General features: G+C 44.0%; 3 long non-coding RNA genes across 4 annotated transcripts; 1 reads left to right on the top strand and 2 right to left on the bottom strand.

The window, feature by feature from the left end:
• Nucleotides 1-202: 202 nt before the first annotated feature.
• FAM238B (family with sequence similarity 238 member B) lies at nt 203-10,549 on the bottom strand. The gene is made up of 5 exons (NR_026794.1): nt 5,375-10,549; nt 4,609-4,706; nt 4,064-4,266; nt 2,866-3,103; nt 203-592 (listed from the first exon to the last, which is right to left on the bottom strand). It is a non-coding gene; the product is annotated as a family with sequence similarity 238 member B (long non-coding RNA).
• A 149-nt stretch (nt 10,550-10,698) lies between these two features.
• LOC105376461 (uncharacterized) lies at nt 10,699-15,838 on the bottom strand. Of its 2 annotated transcripts, XR_930764.2 has the most exons (4): nt 15,395-15,838; nt 15,147-15,236; nt 12,627-12,801; nt 10,699-12,148 (listed from the first exon to the last, which is right to left on the bottom strand). It is a non-coding gene; the product is annotated as an uncharacterized LOC105376461 (long non-coding RNA). The 2 variants fall into 2 exon arrangements; XR_930763.2 differs by having other exon boundaries at nt 10,699-12,801.
• Nucleotides 15,839-15,987: 149 nt separating this feature from the next.
• LOC102724202 (uncharacterized) lies at nt 15,988-17,769 on the top strand. The gene is made up of 3 exons (XR_428680.5): nt 15,988-16,203; nt 16,502-16,568; nt 17,558-17,769. It is a non-coding gene; the product is annotated as an uncharacterized LOC102724202 (long non-coding RNA).
• Nucleotides 17,770-20,694: the final 2,925 nt, after the last annotated feature.

Raw genomic sequence — 20,694 nt, 5'->3', positions numbered from 1 at the left:
AGCAATCAAGCAACAGGAATCTCAGAGAAAGAGATTGTCATGTTTTCTCGTTTTCCTCTATTTTCCTGAAAATTCTGAAGGTCGCAGAGGTAGAGCTGAAAATCTAAGGTCACCAAGACTTAAGAAGGCATGGGATGGTGAAAGCTAGTTTTAATTATAGTGTTGACCTCAAGATCGACTGACCCAATAATCCTTATAGAAATGCAGTAGGAAGAACGTTTAACTTTTATTCATTTGCTGCTTGTGAACATTGATGCTTCGTGCCTGTTGGGGGGGTGGGGCATAGGAGGCCTCTTGGCGACAGCGAGGGGAGGGAGCACGAAGTCCAGGGGGGTCTCCATGAAGTCCGGGGACGGCAGCGGGAGCTCTGGGTACTCCAGGGGCGGCATTGGTGGCTGTGGCGGCAGGAAGTAGTCGGGCGGGGCGGGGAAGACCACGCTGCCTGTGCCCTTGGCCTTGGGGGGTGTGGCGGGGCTGCCACTGGTGTCACAGGACCTCTGCACCGGAGGGGGTGGGGCAGGCTGGACTTGGGGCCTTGGGGGGCCGGGGGTGCTCCTGGCTCCTGGTGGTTCCCGAGGGCTGGCTTCTTATCCTGCAACCAAGCGACAGCAGCATTTATTATTTTAAAGTTTTTGAAATTTTAATTTATTGTTATTAATTAACGGGGACAGGGTCTCACTCTGTCACCCAGGCTGAGTGCATGGCACGATCTGGGCTCACCACAACCTCGACCTCCTGAGCGATCCTCCCGCCTCAGTCTCCTGAGTAGCATTCTTTATTCTTGACAAAAGAGCCCCAGTGGACAAGACCATGCCATAGATATGTGAGGTCTCTGTCTGCTGCCTGGGGGGCCCCCGTCCCTCAGTCACTGAGAACCCTGGTTGTTCATGAGCTCATCTTTGCTCTGGAATAGGGAAATGACTCTAATTGGCCTTTATTATTATTATTATTATTATTATTATTATTATTACTATTATTATTGAGAGAGAGTTTTGCTCTGTCGCCCAGGCTGGAGTGCAGTAGCGCCATCTTGGCTCTCTGCAACCTCTGCCTCCCGGGTTTAAGCGATTCTCCTGCCTCAGCCTCCCGAGTAGCTGGGACTACAGGTGCTGGCTACCACGTCCAGCTAAGTTTGTATTTTTAGTGGAGATGGGGTTTCACCATGTTGGTCAGGCTGGTCTTGAGCTCCTGACCTCATGATCTGCCCTGCCTCTGCCTCCCAAAGTGCTGGGATTACAGGCATGAGCCACCGCGCCTGGTCTTTTTTTTTTTTTTTTTTTTTGTGACGGGATCTCGCTGTGTCACCCACGCTGGAGTGCAGTGGTGCAAGCTCGACTCACTGCAACCTCTGCCTCTAGGGCTCAGTGATCCTCATGCCTCAGCCTCCCAAGTGGCTGGGATGACAAGCATGTGCCACCATGCCCAGCTAATTTTTGTATTTTTTGTAGGGATGGTTTTTTGCCATGTTGCCCAGGCTGGTCTCCAACTCCTGGGCTCAAGTGATCTGCCCACCTCGGCCTCCCAAAATGCTGGAATTACAGGTGTGAGCCGCCTCACCTGGACAGTTTACTTTTTCTCAACTGCATGAAAGTTGGCTGGTTCACCGGGTATAAAATGAGCCCTGTAGTCCCTATTATGACCTGTGTCTCAGATCGTGATGAGATCAAATGAGATACTTATATGAGTTCTGAAAAGAAAAATCACCAGCGTGCTACTGGTAGAAACCAGAATGCCAAATTTGGCTAAAGTCTAATAGAGACATAGCCCTTCCTCTGCCAATACTGGCATAGATAATAATAATTTGTATTTATATAATGAAACATCCCCAGGCAGCTGGATTGAATCCCTCTGTTTTAGTGATAATTATCATTCCAATTTACATTTCATCAGGGCTCCAGTTTATTTCTTCCTCTGCTTAATAGCCTGTTACCACTGAAGATTAAATTTGGAAGATTTTTTTTCTAACGAAGTGCCTTCTGACTTAGTTTCTATTTTATTTAGTTTATTTACTTAGCATGATAAGCTAATTAACTGGCAATGTACTTTTTCCTTTTTAAAAAATTTCTGAACAGGCAGCTTGGGTATTGATGTTCACATATAGTTAAGTGATTTCTATTCTGGGATTCTTTTATTTCTTTCAGCATTTTTAAATGCTTTCCTTCGATTGGCATTATGGAAATAATGAAAATAATAACAGCTGAAAGTACATTGCGTGAGAAGCGCAGGCTTGAGAAGATAATGAGAACATTAAAGAAATACAACTTTTACAGGCCTGCAGTGGTTGTCAAAATTATAAGAAGTTCAATAAATACCAAGATTTAGTTGTTTTCATGACTGACTGATGGACAACATGAAGGGGTGAAAGAAGTGAAAAACTGCTAAAGTGAAGCACCCTGCCTGTCCTAGCTGGGTGATATGCTATTGTCACAGTTATTTAAGGTTGTTTTGAATCACACATGAGAAATATTCAACAGAATTTATACAGTCAACTGAGAGGTTTTGAATTAGATTAGCAACTAAATCATGATTATTAGCTATGATTTTAAGATAGATTTAAGTGAATCCTCATTGATCTATTCGGTTGAAAAAATGTTATGGAGGATGTCATACCTATTGGCTATTATTTTACAATGTATTTTCTCCTCCATCACCCTGGGGATATACGTAGAACATTAATGGGGAAAATAGAAAATGCAATCCATTTTTATCTTTTTTTCTTTTTTTATGACAAGGTATTTATCTGTCACATAGGCTGGAGTGCAGTGGTGTGATCACAGCTCACTGCAGCCTTGAAATCCTGGGCTCAAGCAATTCAAACACCTCAGCCAGCCAAGTAGCTAGGACCACAGGTGCACGCCACCATACCTGGCTAATTTTTTGATTTCTAGTAGAGATGAGCCCTTGTTCTGTTGCCCAGGCTGGTCTGGAACTCCGGAGCTCAAGCAATTCTCCTGGGGGACGGCTGGGTGGAATGTATGCCAGCTGCTTGCTGGTTTTACCTTCCATGTTTCAGCATGTGCCTGGGCCTCTTCGAGAACAGCACTGACAGAATCTGCAGCCTGGGGCATCTGTCCATTGGGCTGGGTGGTGCCATTTATAGGTCCTGAGAGGGAGGAAGTGAGAAAAGATGAGTGAACAAGGAATTTTCAACATTCTAGAAAGTTAACCTGAAAATACAAAGCAGTTTACATCTATAAAGCAAAGAAAGATACTTCCTAGCTACTTCTTACAAAAAAATAAAAATAAAAACAAAGCAGAGAAAACAATTTACAGGCATGACGTGGTACACAAAACCTTATGAAAAAGCTGAGGTTCTGTGACAAAACTTTATGTGAGATTCAGCAAAAGATTCAGGAAGGTGAGTAGGGTATTTGATAAAGCCCACCAAGAAGGGTCTGGATTAACTGGGATTGTGGAGAGGAATAGTATGTTTTACTTTTGAAAAGCTTTTGATAATTGAAGAATAAACCTTGAAAATCAATTTTCTTTCAAAAAAATTCTCCATTGTTGATTTCCCAAAAATGTATTTATCTAGTTTCATACCGTGCTGAGTACAGGAACAACTTTTGAACATTGTCCTTAACAAAGAATATATTGGGCTGGGGGTGGTGGCTCACGCCTGTAATCCCCGCACATCGGGAGGCCGAGGTGGGCAGATTACGAGGCCAAGAGATTGAGACCATCCTGGCCAACATGGTGAAACCCTGTCTCTACTAAAAATACAGAAATTAGCTGGGCATGGTGGCACATGCCTGTAGTCCCAGCTACTCGGGAGGCTGAGGCAGGAATATCGCTTGAACCCGGCAGGTGGAGGTTGCAGTGAGCCAAGATCATGCCACTGCTCTCCAACCTGGTGACAGGGCGAGACTTAGTCTCAACAACAACAACAACAACAACAAAAACAGATAAAAAACAACAACAACAAAGAGTACATTGGACACAGAAACAATAGACAGAGATTTGGGCAAAATGTGCGGGTCCCTGAAATAATCTGGAATTAGATGTGCTTTTTTGTTTGTTTGTTTTCCCCAAAAGTCCTGGTATTATAATTTTATTTTCTTGCCTTTTAATTTGTCCTTTTGACACAAAGCTTGACTCATGGAAGGTCTGCAGTTGTTAGAGAATCAGATAGAGGAAGCTCTACGTTGATTTCTCGGCTCCTTAGAAAGGATCCCGCCAAGGATGGCCGCCTCTCCACACCCGGGCTGTTTCTCCTTCAAGTGAATTGCTGCCCAGCCCACACCAGAAGGTCTTCCACTCCTCTCCCTGTGAATGCAGAGATGCTTTAGCCATGCTCAGCACCACTGTCCTGTTTAATATTCACAAAATGCCTGTTTATTTCTTCAACTAGTTTTCTAGTAGTTTGAGAAACCCATTAATCTACATGACAACTCAAAGAATGACTTCAGGAAATTAGAAAAAAAAAACAACAAAAAAGGGGAAAGTTTGGCTGGGTTCTGGTGGCTGATTCCTGTAATCCCTGCCTGAGGGGAGGCCAAGACAGGCAGATCACTTGAGGTCAGGAGTTCGAGAACAGACTGGCCAATTTGGTGCAAGCCAGTCACTACTAAAAATACAAAAAATTTAGTCGGGCGTGGTGACCCACACCTCTAATCCCAGCTACTCAGGAGGCTGAAGCAGGAGGATCACATGAACTCAGGAAGCAAGGGTTGCAGCGAGCTGACATCGCGACGTAGCATTCCAGCCTGGGTGACAGAATAAGACTCAGTCTCAAAAAAAAAGAATGATACTCAGGGGAAAACCGCGGGAAGGGGGAGAAAGATAAGAGACTACAAATTGGATTCCATGTGTACTGCTTGGGTGATGGGTGCAACAAAATCTCACAAATCTCCACTAAAGGAGTTACTCAATAACTAAATACTACCTGTGCCAAAAATTTATGAAAAGAAAAATTAAATTTTTTTAATTGTGAAAATTGAGGGTCATACTTTCAAGTTACAAAGGCACATCTATTATGAGGCTTAATTATTCTAATGTTTAAAGAAATGAAGAGAACAACCAGAGTTTAAATAGAAAAGCTGTCAGATATTTCGTCTACAGCAATGAAATCTGTAGCACGCATTTTGTATTTTGAAACTTAGTTTTCAGCCAGCCTGGGGGAAGAAGAAGAGGAAACAGAACTGAGCATTGGGGTAGGTAGGAGGAAAGTAAGAAACCAGCTGGACACAGCAGGGAAAGAAGAAGGGGTGAGGACTCGAGGCAGAGCCAGTCCTCCTGCTTGGGGCCTGGGCATAGGAAAGCAAACTCCAGGCAGGAGGAAGGAGCCCCAGGCTGTGGATGCCTCTGGGGGAATTTTGGGTCAGCAATGGCCAGAGGAGCTCCTGAACTTAAGCAGTATCTGCCACCTCCCTACCTTTGGGTGTCTTCTGGTGTCCAATGTGCTGCTGTCAGGTCCCTCGCTGGCTCCCAAATTCGACTGGGCAGCCTCCAAAGCAGTGGAGTTGGTGCTACTGCTATCTCCACTTTGTGGATCTCAGAGCTGCAGGATGGCTTCTCCCACCACACCCTTAGCTGGCCCCATTTGTGGTTGGCATTGTGGGACAGCGTGTTCAGGGCAACTCTGCTCCTGTATATTGCGGGCTGCGTCTGCGCTGTCTGCACACTCATAGACGTCAGAGCCACAGGCTGGCTCTGCACAACCCTTGTGCCGGCCCTGACTGGGGCTGGCTTTGGTGCACATGCGACAGTTCAATGTGGTCCCCATGGGGCACTCCTGCTCTTCTTGGGCAGCTTGGGCCTTTGGTTGCCCCCAAGTGTGCAGAGCTCAACACCTATCGTCTCTTGCTGGCAAAAGCATTGCTAGCACAAGCAGTCCTGGGCCACGGGGTGGCACTGCGCTAGCAGCATGCACCCCATATCACCCCCATACTCTGAGCTGACTTGTCTGCTAAAAAATCCTGCCAACCTGTCCAGTTTATTTTAGAAAGGCCTGGATGCAACAAGCCTGAGAGCTGTGACTGGGGCAGGAGAGAGCACAGATTCATCCTCCTTCCACCACTGCCCAACAACTGAAGACCACCAACTGAGGACCACCACCTGAAGAGAAACAACTGAGGGTACCAACTGAGGGCACTAACCGAAGGCAACCAATGAGGGCACCCACTGAAGGCCACCAAGTGAAGGCCAGTTGCCCTGCCAACCAGACCGCATCCTGGTTCAGAGTAAACAATCAGGTCCAGAATCCCCTGCATGCATCCCTACAGACTTGGAACTTGAGAGCACAGACACATGGCTCACAAGGCCCCACCATGCCAGTGGCCCCGCCCCACCTTTCATTCATTGCTGCATGCTAGGAACCTTCAGGTTTCTCACTGTGAAGAAATTCCTAGGGATCATCACCTTACAATGAATGATGCTAAAATTACTGAAACCAAATCTGCTTCACGCAATGTCTGGGATTCATAAAACCCCCTTTCCCCCATAATCTCTGAAATATTAACAAACTAGAAATAAGAGAGATTTCTGCAGGTGCTTTCAGAAAAAAACTTTGCCATGAGCTAAGCCTACTCTATAATATCAAGTAATATTTCATATATACACATATATAACAAATCCACATATGTCCCATTTACATTTTTGAAAATAACACACATGTTCAATCAAATTGAGAAGACTAACAAGAAATTTTCTAACATTTAAACACTAAGTACATCAGATTTTTCTAATGATCACTTTGATAGAGCAATTTAGAATCTGTGGTTTCATAACACCAAGACACCAAGAGGATTATGTAAGAGAAAACCACAACATAATACAAAATTTTCAATGTGATCATCATTTCTACTTTCAACTAAAAATTACCCAGTGAATGCATTGTGAACTGCTTTGTGACTCTGGTGATCTATTTATTCTTTCTGATTATTGGTTTGATTGTCTAAGATATATGAGTATCACCAATCTTATGAACTCGCTCTAAAAATTAGATGAGAAAAAATAATCCTCCTTCTCCACATACTGAACACTTAAACAATTATAGGTATTGTGTCCAGATTTTTGCACACTCACCTTATAGAAGCCTCATAGAAACACTCTGTTTTAAGTTACAAGCATTTTGCCATGGTTTTTACACACTTACCTTATGGAAGCTTCATAGCAATCACATCTTATATAGATGAGAAAACTGAGGCTCTTCTCAAGTTAAGCAGTATCCGTTGCCACCCTACCTGGGGTATCTTCTGGTTGCCAATGTACTGCTGTCAGGTCTGTCACTGGATCCCAAATTCGACTGGGCAGGCTCCAAAGCAGTGGAGTCTGGTAGTACTGCCACCTCCACCTCGTGGATCGCAGAGCTGCAGGACGGCTTCACCCACCGCACCCTGAGATAGCCCCGCTTGTGGCTGGTATTGGGGGACAGCGTGTTCAGGGCTCCTCTGCTCCTGTATATCACAGCCTGCGCCTTCTCTGTCTGCACACTGGTAGACATCAGAGCCACAGGCTGGCTCTGCAGAACCCTTCTGCCAGCCCTGACTGGGGCTGACTTTGGTGCACTTGTGACAGTTCAGTGTGGTCCCCATGCGGCACCCCTGCTCTTCTCAGGCAGCTTGGACCTTCGCTTGCCCCCAAGTCTGCAGAGCTCAACAACTATTGCCTCTTCCTTGCAAAGGCATGTCTGGCACAGGCAGCCCTGGGCCATGGGGCGGCACTGTGCTAGCAACCTGCACCCTACACCCTGCCTCACCCCCATATCCTGAGCTGATTAGTCTGCTAAGAAAAACCTGCCAACATCTCTGGTTTATTTTAGGAGGGCCTGGGGGCAACAAGCCTGAGAGCTGTGACTGGGGGAGGAGAGAGCACAAACGGATTCATCCTCCTTCTGCCACTGCCCAACAATTGAAGACCACCAACTGAAGAGAAACAACTGAGGGTACCAACTGAGTGCACTAACCGAAGGCAACCAATGTGGGCATCCACTGAAGGCCACCAAGTGAAGGCCAGTTGCCCTGCCAACCAGACCACATCCTGGTTCAGAGGAAACAATCAGGTCCAGAATCCCCTGCATGCATCCCCACAATCCTGGAACTTGAGAGCACAGGCATATGGCTCACAAGGCCCTGCCCTGCCAGCAGCCCCGCCCCACCTTTCATTCATGCTGGCTGCTAGGACCTTTCAGGTTTCTCACTGTGATGAAGTTCCTAGGGATCATCACCTTACAATGAATGATGCTAAAATTACTGAAACCAAATCTGCCTCATGCAGTGTCTGAGATTCATAGAACCGCCATTTCTCCATAATCTCTGAAACATCAACAAACTAGAAATAAGAGAGATTTCTGCAGGTGCTTTCAGAAAAAACATTGCCATGAGCTAAGCCTACTCTCTAATTCAAGTTATATTTCATATGTATACATATATATCCCATTCACATATATTTGATTTACATTTTTGAAAATGACACACATGTTCAATCAAATTAGCAAGACTAACAGGAGAAATTTTCTAACATTTACACACTACATCACATTTTTCTAATGATCACTTTGACAAAGCAGCTTAGAATCTATGGTTTCAACAAAGCAAGAGGCTTACGTAACAGAAAACCACCACAAAATACAAGATTTTCAATGTGATCATCATTGCTACTGTTAACTAGAAATTACCCAGTAAATGCATTGTGAACTGCTTTGTGACTATGGTGATTTATCTAGTCTTTCTGATCATTGGTTTGATTGTCTAAGAAATAGGAGTATCCCTAATTTTATAAACTTGGTCTAAAAATTTGTGGTCTAAAAAGGAGAGAAAGATAATCCACTTTATCCACATATTGAACACTTACAAAATAGTAGACATTTTGTCCAGACTTTTACACACTTACCTTATAGAAGCCTCATAATAACCCTCTCTTTTAAATTACAAGCATTTTGCCATGGTTTTTACACACTTACCTTATGGAAGCCTTACAACAATCACATCTTCTATAGATGAGCAAACTGAGGCTCAGATGAGTTAAAAACACATTCACCATCACATCATAAAGAGTGATGGAAGTGGTATTCAAATCCAGTTTTCTCTAACGCCAAAAATGGTGCAATTTAAGGAGGACCAAATTATACCCAGAACATGGAGAGATGAGAACATGTGGATTCTCTTTTCTAACCCCTTGTGTGTGAATTTCAGTGGCTTGCACTGCCTCAGGACAATCCTAAACTCCCTCCCAGGTTTTCTTGCAGTGGTTCCCTTTTCCTTGAGGATGATGAGGAATCTGCATATTTAGACCACAAGCATCACCTTTTAACAGGTGTGGTGATCACGAAATGAAATTTGCTAGGCCATATGTTACTAAGTGTGAATTGTCCAGCTTCTCTGCAATAAATAAAGGGGCTATTCCATGTAAAAAATCACATCATCCACTAAATTTGTGCAGAAAGATTTGGAACTATGCTGCAGGAGCATCTTACTGACAGCTGTGCAGGAAGACCAGGCAAAACACACAAAGCAGGAGCAGCTCCCAAGGCCAGGTGTGGTGGTTCTTGCCTGTCATCCCAACAAAGCGGGAGGCCAACGTGAGTGAATCACTTGAGGCCAGGGGTTTGAGACCAGCCTGGGCAACACAGTGAGACCCTGTCTCTATGAGAAATCATTTTTTATTATTAGAATCAAGAAGAGTACCTCTAACCCTCAGCCATTACTTTAGGAGAGAGAGCTCTGCTCTACAACGAAAAATATGAAATTGGGAGTCCCAATGTGGCTACTTAAGTTTAAATACAAGAGCTGTCGCATATTTCCTCTACCGTAATGAAATCTGTAGCATACATTTTGTAATCTGAAGTCTTAGTTTTGACCAGCCTAAGAAAAGAAGAAGAGGGCCCAGAAGTGGGCATTTGGACAGGGCAAGGGAAAGTAACCAGCTGGATGCAACAGGGAAAGAACAATGGATGGGGAGTGGAATCAGAGCAAGTCCTCCTGCTTGGGGCCTGGGCCTAGGAAAGCAAACTAGAGGCAGGAGGGAGGAGCCCTAGGCTGTGGGTGCCTCTGGGGGGAACCATGGGTGAGCAACTGCCAAAGGAGCTCCTAAGGCCAAGCGGTATCTGTAGTCTCCCTACCTTTTGGCGTCTTCTGGTCGTCATGACTCCTGAATCAGACGGGGCAGGCTCCAAAGCAGTGGACTCTGGCGCTACTCCCACCACCACCTCGTGGATCGCAGAGCTGCAGGACTGCTCCAAACACCGCATCCTGAGCTGGCCCCGCTTGGGGTGGCATTAAGGGACAGCTTGTTCCGGGTGCCTCTGCTCCTCTGTGCTGGGGTCTGCGCCTCTGCTGGCCGCCGACTCATAGATGTCAGAGCCTCAGGACGGCTCTGCAGAAGCCCTGTGAGGGCCCTGAGTGGGGCTGGCCTTGGTGCACATGCGACAAGTCAGCGTGGTCCCCATGGGGCACCTCTGCTCTTCTCAGGTCGCTTGGTCCTTCCTTGCCCCGACACCTGCAGAGCTGAGCACCTGCCACCTCTCCTCAGGAAAGGCAACCGAATGCCACCAACTGAAAGCACCCACTGAAGGCACTAACTGAAGGCCGGTTGCCCTGCCAACCAGATCGCATCCTGCTTAGGAGGAACCAATCAGGCCTTGAGTTCCCTCCACGCACCGCCCTTCCGTTTATGACGTGGAAGTCCAAGCACTGGCTCACAAGGCCCCGCCCCCACAGCGACCCCGCCCCCACGGCAGCCCCGCCCCCACAGCGGCCCCATCCCCACAGCAGCCCGCCCCACCTTCCATTTATTAGTAGCTGGTAGCAACTTTCAGATTTCCTCACTGTGAATTATGAATATGAATTATGCGCAAATTACTGTACACTAATGTGCCTCATGCAGTATCTGACATTCAAACATCCCCTTGGCCCCGTTGTGACTGATTTTTTTTGGAAACTAGAAATAATACAGATTTCAGCAGGTGTTTTCAGAAGAAAACATTGCCATGAGCTGAGATTACTGTATGATGTCAAGTCTTATTTCATATATCAATACATATTCACATTCATAATCCAAAACGCACATATTCAATCAAATTAACAAGACTAACAGTGGAAATTTTCTAAAATTTATACACTAAGTGCATCACATTTTTCTAATGAACACTTTTATAGAGCAACTTAGACTCTATGGTTTCCACAAATGAAGAGGCTCGTGGAAGAGAAAACCACCACGTAATACAAGATTTTCAATGTGATCATCATTGCTACTTTTAAGTAGCAATTACCCAGTAAATATATTGTGAACTGCTTTGTGAGTATGGTGATTTATTTCAACTTGTTGGTCCTTTGATTATCTTAAAAATAGGAATAATGCCAATTGTATAAACTTGTTCTAAAAATAAAAGGAGAGAAAAATAATCCTCCACCTTCATATATTGTACAATTACAAAATTAAAGGCATTGTGTCCAGATTTTTACACACTTACCTTATTGAAGCCTCATAACAACCTGTCTTTTAAATTACAGGCATTATTCCCAGATTTTTACACACTAAACTAATACAAGCCTCATAAGAATCACTTCTTTTACAGATGAGCAAACTGAGGCTCAGAGGATTTAAAAACTCATTCACCATCACTTTGTAGTGAGTGTTGGAACTGGGATTCAAATCCAATTCTCTCTGACCCCAAAGGTGGTGCACCTTCATGAAGACCCAATTATACCCTCCACATGGAGGGATCAAGACATGTGGATTCCCTTGCTCTGCCTTCTTATGGGTGAATTTCAATGGCTTTCACGGCCTCAGAACAATCCTAAACTCCCTCCCTGGTTGCCTGCAGTGGACATCACTTCTTCTTTTTTATGATTAGGAATCTGCATCTTTGGACCACAAGCATCTATAAACAGTTGTTTTGATCAAGAAACAAAATTTTCTAGGCCTTAGGTTACTAACTGTGAATTGTCTAGCTTCTCTGCAGTAAACAAAAGGCTCTTCCATGTAAAAATATCACAGGATTGTGTAGAAAGGTTTGGAACCATACTGCAGGAGCATCTTACTGACAGCTGTGCAGGAAGATTAGCCAAAACACACAAAGCTAGAGCACCTCCAAAGGCCAGGTGTGGTAGTTCCTGCTTATCATGCCAGCAAAGTGGGAGGCCAAGATGGGTGGATCAGTTGAGGCCAGGAGTTTGAGACAAGCCTGGGCAACACAGTGAAACCCTGTCTGTACAAAAAATCATTTATTATTATTAGAATCAAGAAGATTACCTCTGACCCTCTGACATTGCTTTAGGAGAGAGGGCTCTGGTCTAGAACTCAAGATATGAAATTATGAGTCCCAGTGTGGCTACTTAAGTTTAAATACAACAGCTGTCAGACATTTCCTCTACAGCAATGAAATCTATAGCATACATTTTGTATCCTAAAAATGTGGTTTTCAGACAGCCTAGGGGAAGAAGTGGAGTGCCCAGAACTGGGCATTGGGGTAGGTAGGAGGAAAGAAACTGGCTGCACACAGCAGGGAAAAAAGAAGGGGTGGGGAGGTGAGGCAGAGCCAGTCCTCCTGCTTGAGGCCTGGGCTTAGGATAGCAAACTAGGGGCAGGAGGCAGGAGCCCCAGGCCTTGAATGCCTCTGGGGGAACTTTGGGCCAGCAGCAACCAGAGGAGTTCCTAAACTTAAGTGGTATCCGAAGCCTCCCTACCTTTGTGTGTCTTCTGGTGGCCAATGTGCTGCAGTCAGGAACCTCGCTGGCTCCCAAATTCGATTGGGCAGGCTCCAAAGCAGTGGGGTCCGGTGCTACTACCACCTCTACTTCGTGGATCTCAGAGCTGCAGGACGGCTTCTCCCTCCGCACTCTTAGCTGGATCCACTTGTAGCTGGCATTGGGGGACAGCGTGTTCAGGGTGCCTCTGCTCCTATATATCGCGGCCTGCACCTTCGCTGTCTGCATACTCGTAGACATCAGAACCTCAGGCTGGCTCTGCAGAACCCTTGTGCCGGCCCTGACTGGGGCTGGCTTTGGTGCACATGTGACAGTTCAGTGTGGTCCCCATGGGGCACCTCTGCTCTTCTCGGGCTGCTTGGGCCTTCGCTTGCCCCCAAGTCTACAGAGCTCAACACCTATCACCTCTTCCCGGCAAACGTATGGCTGGCACGGGCAGCCCTGGGCCATGGGGCGGCACTGCACTAGCAGCCCGCACCTTGCATCACCCCTGTACCCTGAGCTGACTTGTCTGCTAAAAAAAAAACTTGCCAACCTGTCTGGTTTATTTTAGAAGGGTCCGGATGCAACAAGCCTGAGAGCTGTGTCTGGGGGAGGAGAGAGCACAAATGGATTCATCCTCCTTCCACCACTGCCCAACAACTGAAGACCACCAACTGCGGACCACAGACTGAAGAGAAACAACTGAGGGTGCCAACTGAGGGCACTAACTGAAGGCAACCAATGAGGGCACCCACTGAAGGCCACCAAGTGAAGGCCAGTTGCCCTGCCAACCAGAATGCATCCTGGTTCAGAGGAAACAATCAGGTCCAGAATCCCCTGCATGCATCCCCAGAACCCTGGAACTTGAGAACACAGGCACATGGCTCACAAGGCCCCTCACTGCCAGTGGCCCTGCCCCCGCTTGCATTCATTGCTGGCTGCTAGGAACTTTCAGGTTTCTCACTGTGAAGAAGTTCCTAGGGATCATCACCTTACAATGAATGATACTAAAATTACTGAAACCAAAACTGCTTCATGCAGTGTCAGGGATTCATAGAATCCCCTTTCCCCCATAATCTCTGAAACATTAACAAACTAGAAATAAGAGAGATTTCTGCAGGTACTTTCACAAAAAAAACATTGCCATGAGCTAAGCCTACCCTATAATGTCAAGTCATATTTCACATATTCATATATATATTCAATGCACATACATTTGATTTACATTTTTGAAAACAACACACATGTTCTATCAAATTAACAAGACTAACAAGAAATTTTCTATAATTTACACACTAAGTATGTCACATTTTTCTAATGATCACTTTGATAGAGCAGCTTAGAATCTATCCTTTCAACAAAGCGAGAGCTTATGTAAGAGGAAACCACTACAAAATATGAGATTTTCAGTGTGACAATCATTGCTACTTTTAACTAGAAATTACCCAGTAAATGTATTGTGAACTGCTTTGTGACTATTGTGCTTTATTTAGTCTTTCTAATCCTTGGTTTGATTATCTCAAAAATATGAGATCTCCAATTTTATAAAATTGCCCTAAATATTAAATGAAAGGTAATCCTCCTTCTCCACATATTGAACATTTACAAAATTGTAGACATTGTGTCCAGATTTTTACACACTTGCCTTATAGAAGCCTCATAACAAACCTCTCTTTTAAATTACAAGCATTTTGCCATGGTTTTACACACTAACCTTATGGAAGCCTTATAACAGTCACATCTTCTATAGATGAGCAAACTGAGGCTCAGATGAGTTAAAAACACATTCACCATCACATCATAAAGAGTGATGGAACTGGTATTCAAATTCAGTTTTCTCTGAGGCCAAAAATAGTGCAGTTTAAGGAGGACCAAGTTATAACCAGAACTTGGAGGGATTAGGACATGTGGATTGTCTTTTCTATCCCCTTGTGTGTGAATTTCAATGGCCGGCACTGCCTCAGAACAATCCTAAACTCCCTCCCAGGTTGCCTTGCAATGGTTCCCTTTTTCTTGGGGATGATTAGGAATCTGCGTATTTAGACCACAAGCATCACCTTTTAACTTGTTGATCAAGAAATGAAATTTGCTAAGCTGTATGTTACCAAGTGTGAATTGTCCAGCTTCTCTGCGACAAAGTGGCTATTCCATGTAAAAAATGACAGCATCCACTGAATTATTGCAAAAAGATTTGGAACTATGCTGCAGGAGCATCTTACTGACAGCTGCGCAGGAAGACCAGCCAAAACACACAAAGCAGGAGCACCTATCAAGGCCTGGTGTGGTGGTTCTTGCCTGTCATCCCAACGAAGTGGGAGGCCAACGTGGGTGAATCACTTGAGGCCCGGGGTTTGAGACCAGCCTGGGCAACACAGTGAGACCCTGTCTCTACAAAACATCATTTCTTATTATTAGAATCAAGAAGAGTACATCTGACCCTCAGCCATTACTTTAGGAGAGAGAGCTCTGTTCTAGAACTCAAGATATGAAATTGGGAGTCCCAGTGTGGCTACTTACGTTTAAATACAAGAGCTGTCAGACATTTCGTCTACCGTAATGAAATCTTAGCATCCATTTTGTATTTTGAAAACTTTGTTTTTGGCCAACCTAGGAAAAGAAGAGGGCCCAGAGGTGGGCATTTGGACAGGGCAAGGGAAAGTAATCGGCTGGATGCAACAGGGAAAGAGGAAGGGGTGGGGAGTTGAGTCAGAGCAAGTCCTCCTGCTTGGGGCCGGGGATAGGAAAGCGAACTGTCTCCTCCCTACCTTTGGGTGTCTTCTGGTAGCCAATATGCTGTAAGTCACGGCTCCGGAATCAGACTGGGCAGGTTCCAAATCAGTGGAATCTGGCACTTCTCCCACCTCCAACTAATGGATCTCAGAGCTGCAGGACTGCTCCCAACACTGCACCCAGAGCAGGCCCCGCTTGGGGCTGGCATTGGACGACAGCGTGTTCCTGGCGTCTCTGTTCCTCTCTGCAGGGGCCTGCGCCTATGCTGGCTGCCCACTCATAGATGTTAGAGCCTCAGGAGGGCTCCGCAGAAGCCCTGCACAGGCCCTGCCTTGGGCTGGCTTTGGTGCACATGTGACAAGTCATCGTGGTCCCCATGGGGCACCTCTGCTCTTCTCGGGCTGCTTGGTCCTTCCTTGCCCCCACGCCTGCAGAGCTGAGCACCTGCCACCTCTCCCCGGGAAAGGCAACCAAATGCCACCAACGGAAGGCACCCACTGAAGGCACTAACTGAAGGCCGGTTGCCCTGCCAACTAGATCGCCTCCTGCTTAGGAGGAACCAATCAGGCCTTGAGTTCCCTCCACGTGCCGCCCTTCCATTTGTGATGGGGGAGTCCAGGCACTGGCTCACAAGGCCCCGCCCCCACAGCTGCCCTGCCCCACCTTTCATTCATTGATAGCTTCCAGCAACTTTCAGCTTTCCTCATTGTGAATTATGACTATGAGCTATTTTAAAATTACTGTAACCCAACGTGCTTCATGCACTCTCTGGGATCCAAAGGATCCTCTTTCCACCATGGCTTGTGAAGGTTTTCGAAACTGGAAAGAAGACAGATTTCTGCAGGTGCTTGAAAAAAACTTTGCCATGAGTTAAGTCTACTCTGTGATGTTAACATAAATATATCATGTATATATATATGTATATATACATACACACTTAATAATTATATATTCAATTTATATGTTTTTGGAAATAACACACATATTCATTCAAACTAGCAAGTATAATAGGGAAGTTTCCTAAAATTCCTACACTGAGTACATCATATTTTTTAATGATTTCGTTGATAGAGCAGCTTTCTAGATGCAGCCCTTTTCACGTGTGACTGGTATTTAACTTCTTTCATCAAACATGTCTTTAGAATCGACTCAAGGCAAGATGCAGTAGAGAAATGTAAGAATCAACTAGAGGAGCCGTTTACCTAGTAGGTGAGACTGATAGGTATACAAGCAACTTCAATAAAATGATATGTATTGAACGTACCTGGGGAGAAGTGCTAAGATGGGCTCCAAAAGCCCCGTATTCATGAAGATGCAATCTTTATATTTAAAATACTAGTGATACAATAAAATGTTCTACTTCACCTCTCACCTTTAATTTCATGGTATTGTCATCCACCCTCTCTATTCTGACTAAGCGTTTCCTTCATAAGCCCCAAGAAATAGCAAAATCACGGAAAATAAACATTTCAGTTCTCAGATTTATTGTTGAAAGAAGTGTGTCGTTGATGCCTCAGTTCATTACTATACAGCCAAATTCCCAGTGAGGAAGCAGCATGAGCTGGAATTCATGCCCTTCATTTGGAAAGATTGCAAATCACTGACATTCTTTTTTTTGCTAAATATTTTAGAAAATTAGAATTCTCTTCATGCTGTAAAGGGATCTTAAAATGATGGGGATATATTTGTACTCTCCATGACAGTGTACATATTCCTTCTCTTAGTTTAGTACAAAAATAGTACTTAAGGAATTTCTGTGGAATAATAGCAATTCTAAGTAACAACTAGAGTTGAGATTTTTCATAAAAGAAAATGTATGAACTTTTATTGTTGTTTGTTCGATTTGAGACAATCTAGCTTTGTTGCCCAGGCTGGAGTATAGTGTGGTGATCTCGGCTCGCTGCATCCTCCACATTCAGTTTCAAGCCATTCTCCTGCATCAAACTCCCAAGTAGCTGGGAGTACAGGCAGATGCCGCCATGCCCGGCTAATTTTTGTGTTTTTAATAAAGACAAGGTTTCGCAATGTTGGTCAGGCTGGTCTCCAACTCCTGACCTCCAGTGATCTGCCTGCCTCTGCTTCCCAAAGTATAAATATTTTTAAACATTTAAAATTGACCTTGCCATTTAGAAATGTAGAAAGTCATCAGGGTCCTGAGTAATTATAAGCTATATTTATCTGCCCACATTGCTTACCAGGTGCATCTTACCAGCAAGTTCTTCAGCATCCTTTTGAGAAGCATTCGACAGCCAAGAAAGCAGGCTATGCCTCACCTACTCCTTCCTGGGCTAAAGATCTCAGACTTGGTTGCTCATCTTAATTCGGGAAAAATAAATGAAGGAATTCTTCTATCATTACACACAACACAGAATAATCTGTTTAAGAAATTATTTTTGATCATCCACATTTTGATGCCAATCCCACATTTGGTAATAACGAATATATACACAAATTTTTTTAGCCAGTTAAATTGGAACATATTCTTTGAAACATCTTTATGATCATTTTTGTTCTACTCAGTAAGTTTAATGGAATAATAAGGTGTTTTTGATAAAGCACATGAATTATTCTCAATGATTACAAGATCTTATGACAGTTGTAATCAAAGGCACGGTGGCTCATGCTTGTAATCCCAGAAATTTGGGAGGATGAGGCCAGCAGATCACCTGAGGTGAGGAGTTCAAGACTAGCCTGGCCAACATGGTTAAACCCTTTCTCTACTAAAAATACAAAAAAAAAAAAAATTAGCTGGGCGTGATGGTGCAAGTCTGTAATCCCAGCTACTTGGGAGGCTGAAGCAGGAGAATAGCTTGAAACTGGGAGGCAGAGGTTGCAGTGAGAAAAAATCTTGCCATTGCACTCCAGCCTGGGCAACAAGAGTGAAACGCATCTAAAAAAGATGGATTATTAAATACTGATCTAGTATTTACTGTAAACTCAGCACTTTGGGGCATATCAGTGGGTATTTAGTTTTATTATGCTCTTAGAGGTTTTTTTCTATTATAGAATTTTCAAACAATTACTAAGGTAGAGAAAATTGTAATAGTTTAATGAACCTAATTTACCATTTAATCAGGTTACTAATGATCAATACATTACCAATTTTGCTTCACCTACACCTCCATACACTTCCTCAATATTCCTCATTATTGCCTTAATTGAGGTATAATATACATGTCCTCATTTTTTCGGACAATGGAGACATTGTTTCATTTCCTCTACAAATATTTCTGTACGCATCTTGAAATGTTAATGACTTAAAACACAAATAGTCTGTGACATATGAGCTTGAGACAAATGAGAAATAACTTTTTTTTTTATTTTTTATTTTTATTATACTTTTAAGTTTTAGGGTACATGTGCACAACATGAAGGTTTGTTACATATGTATACATGTGCCACGTTAGTGTGCTGCACTCATTAACTCATCATTTAACATTACATATATCTCCTAATGCTATCCCTCCCCCTCCCCCCACCCCACAACAGTCCCCAGAGTGTGATGTTCCCCTTCCTGCGTCCATGTGTTCTCATTGTTCAATTCCCACCTATGAGTGAGAACATGCGGTGTTTGGCTTTTTGTCCTTGTGATAGTTTGCTGAGAATGATGGTTTCCAGCTTCATCCATGTCCCTACAAAAGACATGAACTCATCCTTTTTTATGGCTGCATAGTATTCCATGGTGTATATGTGCCACATTTTCTTAATCCAGTCTATCACTGATGGACATTTGGGTTGGTTCCAAGTCTTTGCTATTGTGAATAGTGCCACAATAAACATACATATGCATGTGTCTTTGTAGCAGCATGATTTATAATCCTTTGGGTATATACCCAGTAATGGGATGGCTGGGTCAAATGGTATTTCTAGTTCTAGATCCCTGAGGAATCACCACACTGTCTTCCACAATGGTTGAACTAGTTTACAGTCCCACCATCAGTGTGAAAGTGTTCCTATTTCTCCACATCCTCTCCAGCACCTGTTGTTTCCTGACTTTTTAAAACAACCCCATCAACAAGTGGGCAAAGGATATGAACAGACACTTCTGAAAAGAAGACATTTATGCAGCCAAAAGACACATGAAAAAATGCTCATCATCACTGGCCATCATAGAAATGCAAATCAAAACCACAGTGAGATACCATCTCACAGCAGTTAGAAGAGCAATAACTCTTAATGTATCAAATCAAATATTCAGTCAGTTTTCAAGGTTTTCCTATTGTCTTATAAATTATTATCATCATCATTATCTTATATATTTATTATTTATTTAACTTTTGATATGGTATCTCACTCTGTCGCCCAGGCTGGAGTTCAGTGGCGCAATTTTGGCTTACTGCAATTTCCGCCTTCTGGGTTCAAGTAAATCTTTGCCTCAACCTCCCAAGTAGCTGGGATCACAGGCGCCCTCCACCATGCCCAGCTAATTTTTGTATTTTTAGTAAAGATAGGGTTTCACCATCTTGGCCAGGCTGGTCTTGAACTCCTGACCTCGTGATCCACCCACCTCGACCTCCCAAAGTGCTGGGATTACAGACATGAGTCACTGTGCCCAGCCTCTTATAGTTATTTTAATTGGGATCCGAATAAGCAGTATACATTAAAATTAGATGATAATATGTCTTAAGTTTCCTTTGATATGTTTGAGTATATCACTTCCATGTATCCCTACATCTTCTTTCACTTGCACTCTATTGGTTCCTTTAGTTTTGATTGAAGAAACCAGATTATTTATCCTGTGGTATTTCAACATTCTGCACTTTTCTGATTGCATTCTATGGTATTATTTATTGAACCTGTGATATAGTTTGGATGTTCCCTCCAAATCTCATTGATATGGTTTGGCTCTATGTCCCCACCCAGATCTCATCTTGAATTATGACCCCCATGTGTGGACGGAGGGACTTGGGGGGAGGTGATTAGATCATGGGGGCTGTTCCCCCATGCTGTTCTTGTGATAGTGAGAGAGTTCTCCTGACATATGGTAGTTTAATAAGTGTCAGGCATTTCCTCTTTGTTCTGTCTCTCTCCTGCTGCCATGTAAGATGTGCCTTGCTTTTCCTTCATCCTCTATGATGATTATAAGTTTCCTGAGGCCTCCGCAGCCATGCATAACTGTGAGTCAATTAAAACTTCCTTTATAAATTACCCAGTCTCAGGTAGTTTCTTTATAGCAGTGTGAAAGCATACTAATATACTCATGTTGAGATATAATCCCCTGTGTTGGAGGTGGGGCCTTGTGGGAGATGTTTGGGTCATGGGGACAGATCCCTCATAACTTGGTGCTGTCCCACTGATAGTGAGTGAGTTCTCAGGAGATCTGTTGTTTCAAAGT

Source organism: Homo sapiens, chromosome 10 (assembly GCF_000001405.40).
Source record: "Homo sapiens chromosome 10, GRCh38.p14 Primary Assembly".
Lineage (NCBI taxonomy): Eukaryota > Metazoa > Chordata > Mammalia > Primates > Hominidae > Homo > Homo sapiens.
This window is presented reverse-complemented; position numbering and strand designations above follow the sequence as displayed.